This window comes from Homo sapiens, chromosome 2 (assembly GCF_000001405.40).
Source record: "Homo sapiens chromosome 2, GRCh38.p14 Primary Assembly".
NCBI classification, from domain to species: domain Eukaryota; kingdom Metazoa; phylum Chordata; class Mammalia; order Primates; family Hominidae; genus Homo; species Homo sapiens.
The window spans coordinates 87,787,596-87,804,423 of record NC_000002.12 but is presented as its reverse complement, the minus strand read 5'-3'; the positions used below and the strand labels follow the sequence as shown (position 1 = coordinate 87,804,423).

The following is a 16,828-nucleotide window of genomic DNA, read 5'->3' as shown; positions in this document are numbered from 1 at the left end:
AGTAGAGATGGGGTTTCACCGTGTTAGCCAGGATGGTCTCGATCTCCTGACCTCATGATCCGCCCACCTTGGCCTCCCAAAGTGCTGGCATTACAGGTGTGAGCCACCGCGCCCTGCCAATAGTTCTTATTTTTAATGGAAACTTTAAAATTTATCTGTCTGTGTGTCTATTAGAGTCTTGCTGTGTCACCCAGGCTGGAGTGCAGTTGCGTAATCGTAGCTCACCGTAACATTGAACTGGGCTCGAGCTTCCCAGAGTGCTGGGATTATAGGTGTCAGCTACTGCGCACAGCCTAAAATTTTTCGATATGTAGTTTTGGGAGGCAGAGTCTCACTCTTGCTCTGGCTGGAGTGCAGTGGCATGATCATAGCTCACTGCATCCTCGAACTCCTGGGCTCAAGTGATCCTCTCCTGCTTCAGCCTCAGCTCAGTAGCTGGGACTACAGGTGCCTGCCACCATGCCTGGCTACATTGTTAAATTTTTTGTAAAGACAAGGTCTTGCTATGTTTCCCAGGCTGGTTGGTCTTGAACTCCTGGCTTCAAGTGATCCTTCTGCCTTGCCCTCCCAAAGTGCTGAGATTACAGGTATGAGCCACCACACCTGACTGTGAACTTTTAATCATAATAAGTTAGTTTCCCTCTTAATCCATTCACTCAGGTCTCCTTTCCTAGATGACAGCTACTGTTAGGAGTTTCTTGGGTGTTCAGAAATATTTTTTGCATATGCAAATGTGCAATACATTCTTTCTCTGCTTTTAAAAAATATTGTGCCTCAATGTGGGTGTGCTTTACCTATTGCCAGATGCCTTGCTTTTCTGAATGTTTCTTCATTGTTCCACTTCAGCACAGAGATACCTACCTCAGTCTTTATTAGCTACCACATATTTCTGTAGAATGAATATATAATAGAAACATCTTAGATGCTTGTATTTTATTTGATCAGTTTATTTTAAAGCTTAATGAACAAATGATTATAAGCATAAAATGTAGGTTATGTGCTGGCATTTGGGTATTTAAGAATTGGCTAACTTTTATGGCAAGATTTTCAGACTCTTAATCAGAGGAATACTGTGGTTCTAGTAAGTGCATCTGCATTGCAGCTAGGTAGTTAACAAAGTATCTTGAAACCTTTTAGTTAAGATGAGGAAATAGCCAGGCGTGGTGGCTCACACCTATAATCTTAGCACTTTGGGAGGCTGAGGCGGGCGGATCGCTTGAGGTCAGGAGTTTGAGACCATCCTGACCAACATGGTCAAACCCCATCTCTACTAAAAATACAAAAATTAGCCACGCATGGTGGCAGGTGCCTGTAGTCCCAGCTACTTGAGAGGCCGAGACAGGAGAATTGCTTGAAACCAGGAGGCGGAGATTGCAGTGAGCCGAGATCGTGCCACTGCAGCACTCCAGCCTGGCGACGGAGCGAGACTCCATCTCAAAAAAAAAAGAGGAAATAGTGAATTGAGATGATTTGATTGAGTGGATTCACAACTAATTAACTGGTCACAGATTCAACTGTTGAATAATTTTGTAAAAGAGGCCGGGTTTATGAATTGAGGTCAGTTTGAAAACAAAAAGAATGATGTCAACATTTTGTTTCTTACTTTGTGTGCTCTTTTCAACATATAGATGACAAACTTTGACATGATGTTTAGAAAACTTGTGAGTAAAAGGATAGGCGATATGAATATTTCTAAAATTCAAAATCAGAAGCTTTTAGGTTCATAAATCATATATTTTGAAAAATGAGCATGTTTGGAAAGAATTATATATACATGGTTTAAAATTCTGGCGGCTCTTAAGAATATGCTATGAAGACTCCTTTCTGTTCCCTAGTTATTTACTTTCTCCAGCCCCAAAGAAACTAATGTTATTGCTTTCTTGTGTGTTCTTCAGGAAATGTTTTATGCATCTCCAAGTAAACACACATATATCCCCTGTCTTTAAAGGAAGGAGGAAAACATTTGAACATTGCATTTACTTTATTTCCATTAACTGTATCTTGGAGATGTTTCCATGTCAGTATATATAAAGGGCATTCTCATTAGTTTGGATGCTTGCATATTATTCCATTGTATGGATGTACTGTAGTTTTGGAGTTTTTAAAACCAGGGTCCTAAAACCAGGACATTAGCTTGCTTTTACTTTTTTTTTTAATGCTACTTCAAGTAATTTAGCAATGATTAACTTGTGCCATGAATTCCTGAAAGAATTGCAGTATCAAAGTATATCTGTGCATTTATAATTTTTAGAGCTGTTGCCAAATATCTAACCCTAAAGAGGTTGTATCAAATTACATTTCCACCACCAATTAAGAAAGTGGTGATAGAATTAAAAGCCGATGCTCTAGTCACCCATATAGTTACTTTTGGCATGTTTCTAGTAAGTGGGCATTGCCTGTGACTGGACGTTTTCAGTGATGGGCATTCATTACTTTTCAAGATAGCCCAGTGCATCTTTAGGTGGTTTGGCTCTTGGTACTTCCTTATATAGAATAAAAATATTCTTCAAGCCTTCTACCTGTTGGTCTTGTTTCTTCTTTTGATGATTTCTTTTATAAAATAATTTTAATACCTGAAGGCAGCTGTCACGTCTTCCCTTCGCCATTCTATTCATCATGCTTTTTTTTTTTCCATAGGTTATTGCATTAGGATCTCTTTAATTTCCTGGTTGTCCCATTTATTCTAGTGCTATCCCCTGTTATCCATACTCTGAAAATGTGTTATCTACAATGTGGCATTTCCAAGTGTCATTTCACCTGTACTTTTTAAAGTAGGGTGTCATATCTACTCAAATAGGACAACATCTGCTGTTGTCCTATTTATTCAGGGCAGAAAAGTAATATAATTAAATTTTCCATTTCTCTGAATGTAACACGAATGTGCTTTTAGTAGAAACTAATTTCTCAGAGCTGCTCTGTGTATGCTTTTTTTTTTTTTTTCTTTTTTTGGAGATAGGGTCTCACTCTGTCACCCAAGCTGGAGCACAGTGGCATGATCATGGCTCACTGCAGCCTTGACCTCCTGGATTTAAGTGATCCTCCTGCCTCAGCCTCCTGAGTAGCTGGGACCACAGTTGTGTGCCACCACTCCTGGCTAATAAAAAAAACTTTTTTTAGAGATAGGGTCTCACCGTGTTGTTCAGGCTGGTCTTGAACTCTGGGCTCAAGTGATCCCCCCACCTCGGCCTCCCAAAGTGCTGGGATTACAGGTGTGAGCCAACATGTCTGGCCCCTCTTTTTTTTTTTTTTTGCGATGGAGTCTCGCTCTTTCACCCAGGCTGGAGTGCAATGGCGCAGTCTCGGCGCGCTACGACCTCTGCCTCCCAGGTTCAAGCTATCCTTGTGCCTCAGCCTCCCGTGTAGCCGGAATTAACAGGTGTGTGCCACCACGCCTGCCTCTTTGTTTTTTTTTTTATTATTTTTAGTAGAGACTGGGTTTCACCATGTTGGCCAGGCTGGTCTCGAACTCCTGACCTCAAGTGATCAGCCCACCTTGGCCTCCCAGAGTGTTGGGATTACAGGTGTGAGCCACCACGCCTGTACCTGGCCTATCTTTCATAGGTTATATAAATTCCTTGGTTCCCAGTTTTTGCAGTCTTTTCCAATTCAGTTTAATTAATGGTTAACTGTTTATTCATTATCAAAAAAAGTACAGTGTAATAGACAAGACCATGTTACTATTAGAAGTATGGGTATCATCAAATTAAGATTTTTGATTCTAAAATTATTAGGTTCCAAGACCAAAGATTAAATTAATAAAAGGTGAAGCTGGACAAAATCTGCTGGAAATGATGGCCTGTGACCGACTGAGCCAATCAGGTAATAGTAATATTAAACTAATTTAATTTAAAAAGAAAAAGGAATTTCTGTTAAGGCATATCTTATGATAAAATCTTCATCTGTCCAGGAGATAATTTGTCAAAATTATTTCTTTTTGCCGTATCAGTTAAGAGCAATAGGTATGGAAGAGATGCGAAGAAATAGCACATTCTTTAAAAAAAATGAATATTTGATATTGTTTGTTCCTATGTGGAGAGGATTTCTTAACTCTTTCTTCATCTGGCTGCTAGAGCCTCTAGCCTGAATATTTAGTCACTTCCTGAACTAAGTATAATTATTGATTTGCCAACCATTTAACACCAGCTGATTCTAAAAACACTGCTGTGGGGATATAAAGATGAAGAAGATACGGATCTGTCTTAAAGAGCTGAGAGCATAGTGAGGAAGATAGAAGATATATACTTACCTTATATTAGGCTCTTGGAATTTGTGGATTTTTTTCCCCCGTTTTTGGCTTGGGATGAATCCTAAAGGTCTGTTGCATATTACCTGTGATTTTGCTAAGATACAAACTTTAAGGTAGTTAGATGGCCATTGAATCAAGCAGTGAACTGAAGAAACATAATGCTTCCTATAAGGAGCAGTTTTGATATAAAATTGGATGAATTTTGTAAAGAGCAAGATGTAATATTAAATCAAAGTTATTATAAGCTTTGGTGTATAGTTAGGCTGTTGGCCAAAGCTCACATTGCTCTTTTATTCCATAGCCCACTTTTTTTGTGGGAGCTAGGCTTTCAGTCCTTAAAGTGACTTTCTACTTTTTTCCTTTTCTCTTTTCCTTCTACCCTTGCAGGGCTCTCATAAGTGCCTTTGCATGGTGTCACAGTTAGATGAAAATTGCCTGTATTTTTTTTTTATGTCTTTGATCTGGGCATCCCGAGGGTGCCTCTGTAAGTGTGCTGAGACACAACTGTGTAGTGGTAACCAAACCTAATTGCCCAGCAGAATTAACTCAAAGGAGGGTTTTTAAAAAAAGTTGAATTGAAATATAATTCATGTACCATACGCTTCACCCATTTAAAGTGTACAGTTCAGTGGCTTTTACTATGTTCATAGAGTATTACCACTGTCACCACAGTCAGTTTTAGAAGATTTTCATCACTCCATGAGGAATTTCTTACCTATTAGCAGTTACTCCCCATTTTACCCAAACCTCTCAGCCTTGGCAACCGCTAATCTGTCTCTGTAGGTTTGCCTCTTCTTTTTTTTTTTTTTTGAGACGGAGTCTCGCTCTGTCGCCCAGGCTGGAGTGCAGTGGCGGGATCTCGGCTCACTGCAAGCTCCGCCTCCCGGATTCACGCCATTCTCCTGCCTCAGCCTCCCAAGTAGCTGGGACTACAGGCGCCCGCCACTACGCCCGGCTAATTTTTTGTATTTTTAGTAGAGACGGGGTTTCACCGTTTTAGCCGGGATGGTCTCGATCTCCTGACCTCGTGATCTGCCCGCCTCGGCCTCCCAAAGTGCTGGGATTACAGGCGTGAGCCACCGCGCCCGGCCGGTTTGCCTCTTCTGAACATTTCACATAAATGGAATCATGTAGTATGTGGTCTTTTGTGACTGGCTTCTTTCATTTAGCAAGGTTTTCAAGGTTCATCTGTGTTATAGCATGTATCAGTATTTTATCCGAGGACTATGATTTTTTGATTGCTTACTGTAAACCTATGGAATAAAAATCTCTGGGAACAAGGCCTGGAAATAATTCTTTTTTTTTTTTTCCTGAGACAGTCTTACTCTGTCGCCCAGGCTGGAGTGCAGTGGCGTGATCTCGGCTCACTGCAAGCTCCGCCTCCCGGGTTCACGCCATTCTCCTCCCTCAGCCTCCCCAGTAGCTGGGACTACAGGCGCCCGCCACCAGGGCCGGCTAATTTTTTTTTTTTTTTTTTTGTATTTTTAGTAGAGACGGAGTTTCACTGTGTTAGCCAGGATGGTCTTGATCTCCTGACCTCATTATCCACCCAGCTTGGCCTCCCAAAGTGCTGGGATTACAGGCATGAGCCACCGTGCCCAGCCGGAAATAATTCTTAAAAGCTGTTTAAAGGAGGATTCTGATCAGCCAGGTTCAGAAATCAGTGTATCAGATCAGAGAATAAGAGCTTGTCCCTGTTCTCCTATGGCCACTTAAATCCAGACCTTTTCATCTAAAATGCAAATATGTTTGGCATTTTTCATACACATTCCTGTCTTTTTTCCCCCTTCTGCTGTCTTATGTAGATACTGAGAATATTAAACCTGTACTCTTTTCATTTGCTACATAAGCACCCGTTTTGTTGTCCAGCTGTATTTTTTGGGTTGGAGGGTTAGGTCTGCAATAATCATGTTATTTCCCCTTTGGGTATACAAATGAGACAACGTGAGCAAATACAATCTGTATTTTTAAAGTGATGGAAATAACTTAAATTTTTTTTTCAGGGCATATGTTGCTAAACTTAAGTCGTGGCAAGCAAGATTTTTTAAAAGAGGTTGTTGAAACTTTTGCCAACAAAAGCGGGCAGTCTGTGTTATATAATGCTCTGTTTTCTAGTCAGTCATCTAAGGATACATCTTTTCTTGGTAGCGATGATATTGGAAACATTGATGTACAAGAACCAGAGCTTGAAGATTTGGCTAGATACGATGTTGGTAAGTTATATGTTTCAGAGGAAATGGTCTCCGTCTTAATTATTATAAATTGCCCATAATCTTATTACCCAGAAATAACGACTTAATATTTTCCTGTATTCCTTTTGTGTGTGGGTTGGGCTGGGGGGAGTTTGAATGTGGTGCTGTAGGGGTGGCATGTATTTTTTGTTGTTGTTGTTGTTTTTGAGACCAAGTTTTGCTCTTGTCGCCCATGCTGGAGTGCAGTGGTGCGATCTCGGCTCACTGTAACCTCTGCCTCCCGGGTTCAAGTAATTCTACTGCCTCAGTCTCCCAAGTAGCGGGATTACAAATGCCCACCACCACGCCCGGCTAATTTTTTGTATTTTTAGTAGAGACGGGGTTTCATCATGTTGGTCAGGCTGGTCTCAAACTCCTGACCTCAGGTGATCCACCTGCCTTGGCCTCCCAAAGTGCTGGGATTACAGGAGTGAGCCACCGCGACCAGCCTTGTTGTATTTTGAGACAGGGTCTCGCTGTGTCACCTGGGCTGGAGTGTAGTGGCGTGATCGTAGGTCACTGCTGCCTTGAACTTCTGGGCTCAAGGGATTCTCTTGCCTCAGCCTCCTGAGTAGCTGGTACCATAGGCACATGCCACTCGGCCCAGATAATTTTTTTTTTAATTGGTAGAGACAGGGTCTCCCTTTGTTGCCCAGGCTAGTCTCCAACTCCTAGGCTCAAGTGATCCTCCTGCCTAAGCCCCGCAAAGTGTTGGGATTAGGCCTGGCACAGTGGCTCATATCTGTAATCCCAGCACTTTGGGAGGCCGAGGCGGGCAGATCACCTGAGATCAGGAGTTCGAGACCATCCTGGCCAACATGGTGAAACCCCATCTCTACTAAAAATACAAAAATTATCCGGGGGTGGTGGCATGTGCCTGTAGTCCCTACTCAGGAGGCTGAGGCAGGAGAATCGCTCCAACCCGGGAGGTGGAGGTTGCAGTGAGCCAAGATCACACTGCTGCACTACAGCCTGGGCGACAGAGCGAGACTTCGTCTCAAAAACAAAAGTGTTGGAATTATAGGCATGAGCCACTGCATCTGACCATATTTTTCATCTAAATGGTTGTTTATGTATGATTTATCTTGCTTCCTTCATGAATTCTCTCCCATAGTCTCTGTATTAAAACTATAAATATCACTTTTATTGGCAATATAATCTTTTTTATGAAGTAGTCATAATTTGCTTGCAACTTTCTGTTATTGGGCATCCAAGTTTTCTCAACTTTTCCACTGTTAATAATCATACTCTGATAAAAACTTCAACAAAAAGTGTCTTCATTGCAAGTTATTTCCATAGAGATACCTAAAAACAGAATTACTGAGACAAAGGACATGAACATCTTTAAGTCTTGCAAATTGCCAAAATGACAGAAAGATTATACCTCTTCATGCTTCCAGAAGCGCATAACCTTTTCTTTTCTTTTCTTTTCTTTTTTTTGAGACAGAGTCTCGCTCCGTCACCCAGGCTGGAGCGCAGTGGTGCAATCTCGGCTCACTGCAACTTCCGCCTGCCAGGTTCAAGCAATTGTCTTGCCTCAGCCTCCCAAGTAGCTGGGACTATAGGCATGTGACACCATGCTCGGCTAATTTTTTGTATTTTTAGTAGAGACGGAGTTTCACCATGCTGGCCAGGCTGGTCTCGAACTCCTGACTGCACATAACCTTTTCAATATTGACTTTCTTGTAGAAAAACAGATTTCTTTACTGTACCGATGGATTAATATAGTGGTGTTCCATTGCTTTAATGACTTAAAGGAAAACCCATTGTTTTGGGGTTTCTTATTAGGTTAGGTGTTCTTTATTTGGCTTTTGTCAGTTGATTTTGGTTTATTGAGTTCTAGTCAGTGTCATTTTTTAAGATGGACTTAAACATTCTTCATCACTACTATTTTTATTAAAATTTCTAGAAATAATCAAGTGAGAATGCATTTAATAAGAACATGAGATTTTGCCTAACATAGAATTCCCTCCAGCTTTGATATAGAAAAGCAGTTATATAATTAAGATATATATAATGTGAATTGTTTATGTTGGCAAAACTAATGGCACAAAGAAAAATTTCGAACCCTTAAGCCAATTTTTTTATTTTATTTCAGGTGCTATTCAAGCACATAATGGTAGTCTTCAGCACCTTACTTGGCTTGGCTTACAGTGGAATTCATTGCCTGCTTTACCTGGAATCCGAAAATGGCTAAAACAGCTTTTCCATCATTTGCCCCAGGAAACCTCAAGGCTTGAAACAAATGCACCTGAATCAATATGTATTTTAGATCTTGAAGTAAGCAAAGATTTTAACAAATTAAATATTCTGAATTTTGTTTAATTTTTTTTTCTAACTTAACTTTTCCTTAAATAAAACAGGTATTTCTCCTTGGAGTAGTATATACCAGCCACTTACAATTAAAGGAGAAATGTAATTCTCACCACAGCTCCTATCAGCCGTTATGCCTGCCCCTTCCTGTGTGTAAACGGCTTTGTACAGAGAGACAAAAATCTTGGTGGGATGCGGTTTGTACTCTGATTCACAGAAAAGCAGTGTAAGTAGTAAAACAAAAATATTGCTTTCACTTAGTGCGTAGGTTTTACCGGGGATTTAATCCTCATGTGAAGATTTAATTTGTCATGTGACCCATTAACATATATGTATGTAAGCGCTGAACTGTGTATTTAGAAAACAATTTTAGTAAATTGAAGTATTTTTTAGACCTGGAAACTCAGCAGAATTGAGACTTGTAGTTCAGCATGAAATAAACACTCTAAGAGCCCAGGAAAAACATGGCCTTCAACCTGCTCTGCTTGTACATTGGGCAAAATGCCTTCAGAAAATGGTGAGTTTTAAAGTATAAGCATTTTTAAAGAACATTACCTTAATTTTTTAAAATCATGCACTTTTTATTGAAAGTTTTTTTGTTCAGAAAACAGCAGCTTGGTCATATTATGACAGATGTGTTTTTTATTGCTGCAAAATAGTTAATGTAGTTAAATATAAGCACTTAGAGGAGCAATGCCTGGCACACAGTGAATGTTACATATTAGCTGAGCTGTTACTGTTATTCCTTAATAATTAAGTTCTGATAATTATTCAGCCTGAAAATTAAAAAAAAAAATTAGCACAAGGCTTTGTAGGTAAGACCATTATAGATCTTTCTAAATATTTAAGGTTTGTTTTGTGTCACCATTAGGTGAAGATGGTCAGCCTTTTGAACAAACTGACACTACAGAAGAGGCAGGTTTCAGCTATCTAAAAATGGCAACTGTTAAAAAGTAGTTGGGATTGCTACATTAGGGTGGTATCATTAGAAGTGTTTAAAAGTTGAGTGTAGAGGCCGGGTGCGGTGGCTCACATCTGTAATCCCAGCACGTTAGGAGGCCGAGGCGGGCAGATCACAAGATCAGGAGATCGAGATCATTCCTGGCTAACACGGTGAAACCCCGTCTCTACTAAAAATACAAAAAAAAACTCTACTAAAACTACAAAATTAGCCAGACATGGTGGCAGGTGCCTGTAATCCCAGCTACTTGGGAAGCTGAGGCAGGAGAATTGCTTGAACCTGCACGGCAGAGGTTGCAGTGAGTTCACTGGTATTAAGGTGGTTTAGTTATTACAGTATTTGGAAGTTGAACAAATGACTATTGAGGTACCATTTGGTTTTGACTTGAAATTTTAGCCAGTTCTTACAACCTGTAAATGAACTTTAGATCTAATCATGCGTGTTCCTTAAAGTTGTGTGCTTTTAACTTTCTTTTTTAGGGCAGGGGTCTTAATTCTTCTTATGATCAACAAGAATACATAGGGAGAAGTGTTCATTATTGGAAGAAAGTTTTGCCATTGTTGAAGATAATAAAGAAGAACAGTATTCCTGAACCTATTGATCCTCTGTTTAAACATTTTCATAGTGTAGACATTCAGGTAACAGAGTTCCTTTATGAATTTATTGGAGATGGGAATTTCCAGTTTATAAACAAAGACGTGGAGCTATAAACTGCTTAAATTAATTGCCTTGTTATTTAACGGTAATCTTGTTTTCTAAATTCACTAGCTCTCACAGATAAGATATGACAGAGAAGAGTAATGAGATGTTTGTCTCTTAAGATCATATAAAATCTTTGGAAAATCATTTGGGTTTTATATTCTGAGTATAAACAATTTGACTAAAAACTATTCTGTGTGTTTAGGCATCAGAAATTGTTGAGTATGAAGAAGATGCACACATAACTTTTGCTATATTGGATGCAGTACATGGAAATATAGAAGATGCTGTGACTGCTTTTGAATCTATAAAAAGTGTTGTTTCTTATTGGAATCTTGCACTGGTAAGTAGATGCAGTACTTGAGCTAAAAGTTTTATTTATTTATTTATTATTTCTTTTAAAAGACGGGGTTTCTCTGTTGGCCAGGCTAGAGTGCAGTGGCACAATCTTGGCTCACTGCAACCTCTGCTTCCCAGGCTCAAGCGATTCTTGTGCCTCAGCTCCCGAGTAGCTGGGATTACAGGCATGAGCCACCATGCGTGGCCAAGCTGAAAGTTTTTTGTTTTAAAAAGCTAATGATTTCATAAAAGCACTATTTGTATAGATTTTTCACAGGAAAGCAGAAGACATTGAAAATGATGCCGTTTTTCCTGAAGAACAAGAAGAATGCAAAAATTATCTGAGAAAGACCAGGGACTACCTAATAAAGATTATAGATGACAGTGATTCAAATCTTTCAGTGGTCAAGAAAGTAAGTAGCAGGTTGTTGTATGTACGTTCTTACTGATAACCCACTGGTCAGTGTTTTTGCGTTGGTCTTATATTTTGGTAATTTCAAAAATACTCAGTAATATGTTGTTATTAATGCACAGAAGGGATGTGTGTGTCTAAATGCTTATATTTGCTTGCTTTGTCTTAGGTTTGGTGTGTCTTTTTAAACTTGGGAATCTAGGTGTTATCTTAGCAGTGTAATCAAAACAAATATTATAACCTCAGGACTAATTCTTAATGAACTTTGCTGAAATTGAAAGTTGTTGCTGACAACTTAAGAGCATTTCTTCTCATCCTCATCAGCCATTATGAACGCCCTTGTTTTCTTGCTGTCAGCTGTTTGAGATTGTCATGATGATGTTAAATTATGTTCAGTCTTCTGAGTGTTTTGTTGATTAATTTGTGTTACTACTCTTTTATTAGGATTTATGTTGTCTGGTGTATTGTAGCATCTGTATTTCTGTCACCATTGAAAATCAGTTAGAAAACATCAGTAACTTATTTTGTTCACTTGGAAAAGCTTTCCAAGTTAACATTCCTCTACAATTATCATGGTTAACAGAAGTAATAGAAAGAGCATGGACTTTAGAATCAGAAGATGTTAGATTGTACAACACTTTTCTGTGTTCATGAAGAAAAAAATAGAATAAAGACAAAAAAATAAAAATAATAATACAAAACAGCAGAAAAACAAAGAAAAAAGATAATTAAAAAACACTTTCACGTGTATTATTATTTAAAGTGTAAAGTGCTTATTAAAATGACAAAAATGTAAATAAGATAAAATATATCATTTTAGAGTTTTTACTTTTGGAATTTTTTGCAAATGAAAGCCCTTAATTAATGTCTTTTATTTTTAGTTGCCTGTGCCCCTGGAGTCTGTAAAAGAGATGCTTAAGTCAGTCATGCAGGAACTCGAAGACTATAGTGAAGGAGGTCCTCTCTATAAAAATGGTTCTTTGCGAAATGCAGATTCAGAAATAAAACATTCTACACCATCTCCTACCAAATATTCACTATCACCAAGTAAAAGTTACAAGGTAAACAGGAAAGAATGGAATCATTTCATTGTGAAATTGTTTCTAAGTGTTTTAAATGCTCTTTTGTTATTTTTATTTTTTTTTTTAGTATTCTCCCAAAACACCACCTCGATGGGCAGAAGATCAGAATTCTTTACGGAAAATGATTTGCCAAGAAGTAAAGGCCATTACGGTAAGTCACTTAATTTCTCTAGCTGTACTTTTTATTCCAAGATTCCTTCCCTGGCCACTCTCTCACTTTTTTTCTGAAGCTGGTCAGAATGTCCCCTTGCCATCCAAATAGTATGGCAAGGGGACATTTTGGTCTTTTTTTTTTTTTTTTTTAAGACAGGGTCTTGTTGTGCAGGCTGCAGTACAGTGGTATGATCACAGCTTACTGTGGCTTCGACCTCCTAGCTCAAGAGAGCCTCTTGGCTTAGCCTGCCACGAAGCCAGGACTACAGAGAGTCACACGCCACTAGGCCCAGCTAATTGTATTTTTTGTAGAGATGGGATTTTTCCATGTTGCCCAGGGTGGCCTTGAACTCCTGGCTCAAACAATCCTCCTGCTTCAGCCTCCCAAAGTGCTGGGATTGCAGGTGTGAGCCACTGTGCCCAGCCTACATACCTTGGTCTTGACCCTTTACCATATTTTGTTTTGTTTTGTTTTGAGATGGAGTCTCACTCTGTTGCCCAGTCTGGAGTGCAATGGTGCGATCTTGGCTCACTGCAACCTCCACCTCCCAGGTTCAAGCGACTCTCCTGCCTCAGCCTCCTGAGTAGCTGGGATTACAGGCACCCGCCACCAGGACCAGCTAATTTTTGTATTTTTAGTAGACACAGAGTTTCACCATGTTGGCCAGGCTGGTTTTGAACTTCTGACCTCAGGCGATCTGCCCGCCTTGGCCTCCCAAAGTGCTGGGATTACAGGTGTAAACCACCACACCCAGCCCTTTACTATATTTTTGAAAGTACTTTATGTGTCTCTCTCCTCATCTTCCACAAAATTTGAGACCTTCAAAGGTAGAAACTGTTTTATTTAAAATATAAGAGTTCCTGACACAGAGAAGGTTCCCGAGTGATTGAACTGCTACAGTGTACTAATCATACTCTGGTCTATGAGTTCATTCTCAGATTAGCTGTGGATTACATGTGTTTCAAATGTATAGCTAGGAATTGAAAAGTGGTCTGAGCTTCAAAAAGTCTTGCTATATTTTAATACTTCCATATGAATTTGACTTAATTATGTAAGGAAATAGTTATGTATATATATCTTATTTTAACAATAGGGTTCAAAGGAGCTTGACTTTTTTGGAATTGGAAATAAAAGTAGGTTCTTTCATGTTTATCAGGCAAGAACTAAATTATACTGCTAAAGTTACATCAAGGATATGCTGATGTGTGGCGATTATTACAGTGTGATCAGCAGTATTTGCAAATTAAGAGAATACTATTTGGTGGGGAAGACATTTTTGAATTTGCACAAAAATCTTGAATGTTAATTCTGTGTAGTCATGGCCTATGACAATTACATACAATTTTGACTTAACATACAGGTTTCAGGCTCCCAACATTGTATTCTGTGGAAGTATAGTGGAGCACTAGTCCATGAGCTTGAAAAGCTTGGTACTAGTACTGACTCTGCCATTAATTAATGATCTTGGGCCAGTCACTTCCTTCGTGACTGGCTTCTTATCTTTAAAATGAGAGAATTATTGAAGCCAGTTCTCATTACACTGAATGTTAAAAATTACAGTTACAGCAGTGATTGCAAATTCAAAGCTCTGGTGCGGATACCAACAGTGACCATAAAGTTTTCTAGGTGATTCCACTAGTTTCTTATTTCTTGGATGTGTATGTGTAGCATCTGGACTAGGCACTGTAGATGGATGAGTGGGGGAAATTTTATTTAGCTTGAAAATTGAGATAGTTTTGGACCTCATGGTTAGGTCTTTCTGGGAAATTTTTATTTGAAACACTTGTAGAAAAAGAAAGCAGACATGCTAGATCTGTCCCTGACCTCACTTGTTAGAACTGGTCGGATTCCTGGGCTGATACAGAGAAGTTTGAAACTTTTCAAAATTTACCTGTTTTCTGATACCACTACAATTTCTTTGGAAAAAGAATTTCCTGTTAAGTGTCTGTTTTGTAAGGGGACATTTTGTAGGTTCTAGGGTTGGGTATGGTGCTGTCATTTAGTTTTCTTCAGCAGAGATCAGGTAGCCACATAGCTACACTAGACGGCATTGTATCTATCTGCCATCTTGTCAAGGCAGCAGAGTTGTGTTAAGAGAACATTTTTGGAGTCAGATGTGGTTCAAATTCCAGCTGTTATTCCCTGCATCCCTTTCTCTCATTTTAAGATAGGAGCTAATATTGTTTACCTAACAGTGTAGATAGTATAAAAATTAAGAGTTTAAGTGCATTGGACGTATTATTATATACATAATAAATTATCTGCAGCTACTGCTTTTTTCCCTTTCCTGGTGGAGCATTTGAACGTCACCTGGAGAATTAGTTGTATTTTGTTTCAGCATGGGGTTAAGTGAAAAGCTAATTTGGGGAGGTGATTTGGAATGTCAGGTAGTCCAGATTGCAGTATAGAAAGAACACACTGAAAGGATGGTCAGTGTAATGTTAGAGGACTGTGAAAGTTGGGGAAAGAAGTTTAGTTTGTAGGTACTTGTTTTTTTGAGCAGGGAATTGTCTTGGCTGGAGGTGAATGTCAGAAAGGTTAATGTAGGCAAGTGTAGAATGGAAATGAAGGTGTGATCATTTAGGAGGTTATTTGTTTAGGTGAGAGAGTTAATGAATTAGGTTTTGTATTAACGAATGAAAATGGGAGCAGATAAATTTTTAACAAATTAAGAATCATATTTTAAAATCAGCACCAGGTACCTAGAACTCATTGGCAAATAGAAACTTTCAAAAGATATAATCAGGTCCGGGCGTGGTGGGTCACACCTATAATCCCAGCACTTTGGGAGGCTGAGGTGTTGGATCACTTGAGGTCAGGAGTTCAAGACTAGCCTGGCAAACATGGTGAAACCCCATCTCTACTATTATACAAAAAATTAGCCGGGTGTGCTGGCTGACGCCTGTAATCCCAGCTACTCGGGAGGCTGAGGTGGGAGAATTGCTTGAGCCCAGGAGGTGGAGGTTGCGGTGAGCCAAGATTGTGCCATTGCACTCCAGCCTGGATGACAGATCGAGACACCATCTCAAAAAAGAAAAAAAGAAAAAATCAGTTATTTAAATTTAAAAGAGTAAGTTTCCCCAGCACTGTTTCTGGCATGATATAATTAAATGATTAAAATTATTTGATTTTTTTTTCTTCCAATAGAAACTAAATAGCAGTAAGTCAGCATCCCGTCATCGTTGGCCCACAGAGAATTATGGACCAGACTCGGTGCCTGATGGATATCAGGGGTCACAGACATTTCATGGGGCTCCACTAACAGGTGAGCTGGCAAGTGCATAATCGCATATTTTAGTAAAACTACTTTACTTCCCTCTTTTAAGTAGATAACGTGTGAAATCACCTTGTTTATATATGTTTGTTAATATACATGTCAACGTCTGTTTATATGTGACTTCAAAAGCTGTATTTGGTGTTACGGAGATTTTTATAATCCCAAGCAGAAAAAACGAGCCGTATGTGATCACGTGTATATAAAGGCTTAAAGAACACTTAATCCACACCTCAGATGAGCTGAGATGAGATTATTCCTTAAATTGAAAAATGTTATTGAATAGAGTTATGCACTAAGAAATGCTTAATTAAGAACCTACACCTCTGGGGAATTATTTTGATGATAATGATGAGAGGCAGGACGTTATATAGGAAATCTTACTTAATTTGAAATATTATGGTTATATAAAGAAAGAAAAGGAGTTTGGACCTGAATCATACAGGGTTTTTAAGTTCTGCTCTATCACTTACTATAATAGCTGTGTAAGTTAACCTGTCTGAAATGTGGAGATAATACTTGCCTTACATAATTACTATGAGCATTTGTGTATGTGCAGGTGGGCGTGGGTGTGTATCAGACATTTATTAGAGTATACAGTAAACAGTTAATGAACTAAGGTTACTAATAGTGTTTACTGTGGGTTGGCTATGTGCAAAAGTGCTTTGTGAATGTAATTTGATTTAATTACAGTAACTTAGAATGGCCGGTACCATTATTAATCCCTTTTTTATAAATAAGGAAATGGATAAAGAAAGGTTAGGTAACTTACTCATTATTATACAGCTAGTTATTGATAGAGCCGAGATTCACACTCCAGTGGTGTAACTCCAAAGCACTTGCCAGTATAATACATTGCTCCCAGGCAGCCAGAAATAAAAAAATTGTTCCTTTTACGTACGACAGACTTCTGAAATGGTAGTAGTAGTGCCCTTTTTTTTTTCTCTTTTTAGCCCAGGAAAGATTTAGAATAAAATCTAGTTTAGATGAGCACATTTGTGTGATGGTTCCTATAGTTAAGGCAACCCCACTAGCCTTTTGTGATAGTATCTTCTCAACACAAGCAAAATAACAGAAAATCTTTGTGAAGTCAAGCTTATTAAATGTCGTAAGTCAT

General features: G+C 38.9%; 1 protein-coding gene across 10 annotated transcripts in view; it reads left to right on the top strand.

The window, feature by feature from the left end:
• The window catches only part of RGPD2 (RANBP2 like and GRIP domain containing 2), a 233,859-nt gene that overhangs the window by 185,395 nt on the left and 31,636 nt on the right, over positions 1 to 16,828 (top strand). For all 10 annotated transcript variants that reach the window (XR_007081580.1, XR_007081581.1, XM_047445734.1 and 7 more), the window contains 11 exons: positions 3,732 to 3,819; positions 6,250 to 6,459; positions 8,576 to 8,757; positions 8,841 to 9,016; positions 9,184 to 9,307; positions 10,231 to 10,389; positions 10,656 to 10,793; positions 11,056 to 11,202; positions 12,083 to 12,262; positions 12,351 to 12,434; positions 15,585 to 15,702. Coding sequence is in view for 8 of the 10 variants with exons in the window: in XM_047445734.1 (XP_047301690.1) it covers positions 3,732 to 3,819; positions 6,250 to 6,459; positions 8,576 to 8,757; positions 8,841 to 9,016; positions 9,184 to 9,307; positions 10,231 to 10,389; positions 10,656 to 10,793; positions 11,056 to 11,202; positions 12,083 to 12,262; positions 12,351 to 12,434; positions 15,585 to 15,702 (1,606 nt within the window). In the remaining 2 variants the exon portion in view is untranslated. The remainder of the gene's footprint in view (positions 1 to 3,731; positions 3,820 to 6,249; positions 6,460 to 8,575; positions 8,758 to 8,840; positions 9,017 to 9,183; positions 9,308 to 10,230; positions 10,390 to 10,655; positions 10,794 to 11,055; positions 11,203 to 12,082; positions 12,263 to 12,350; positions 12,435 to 15,584; positions 15,703 to 16,828) is intronic.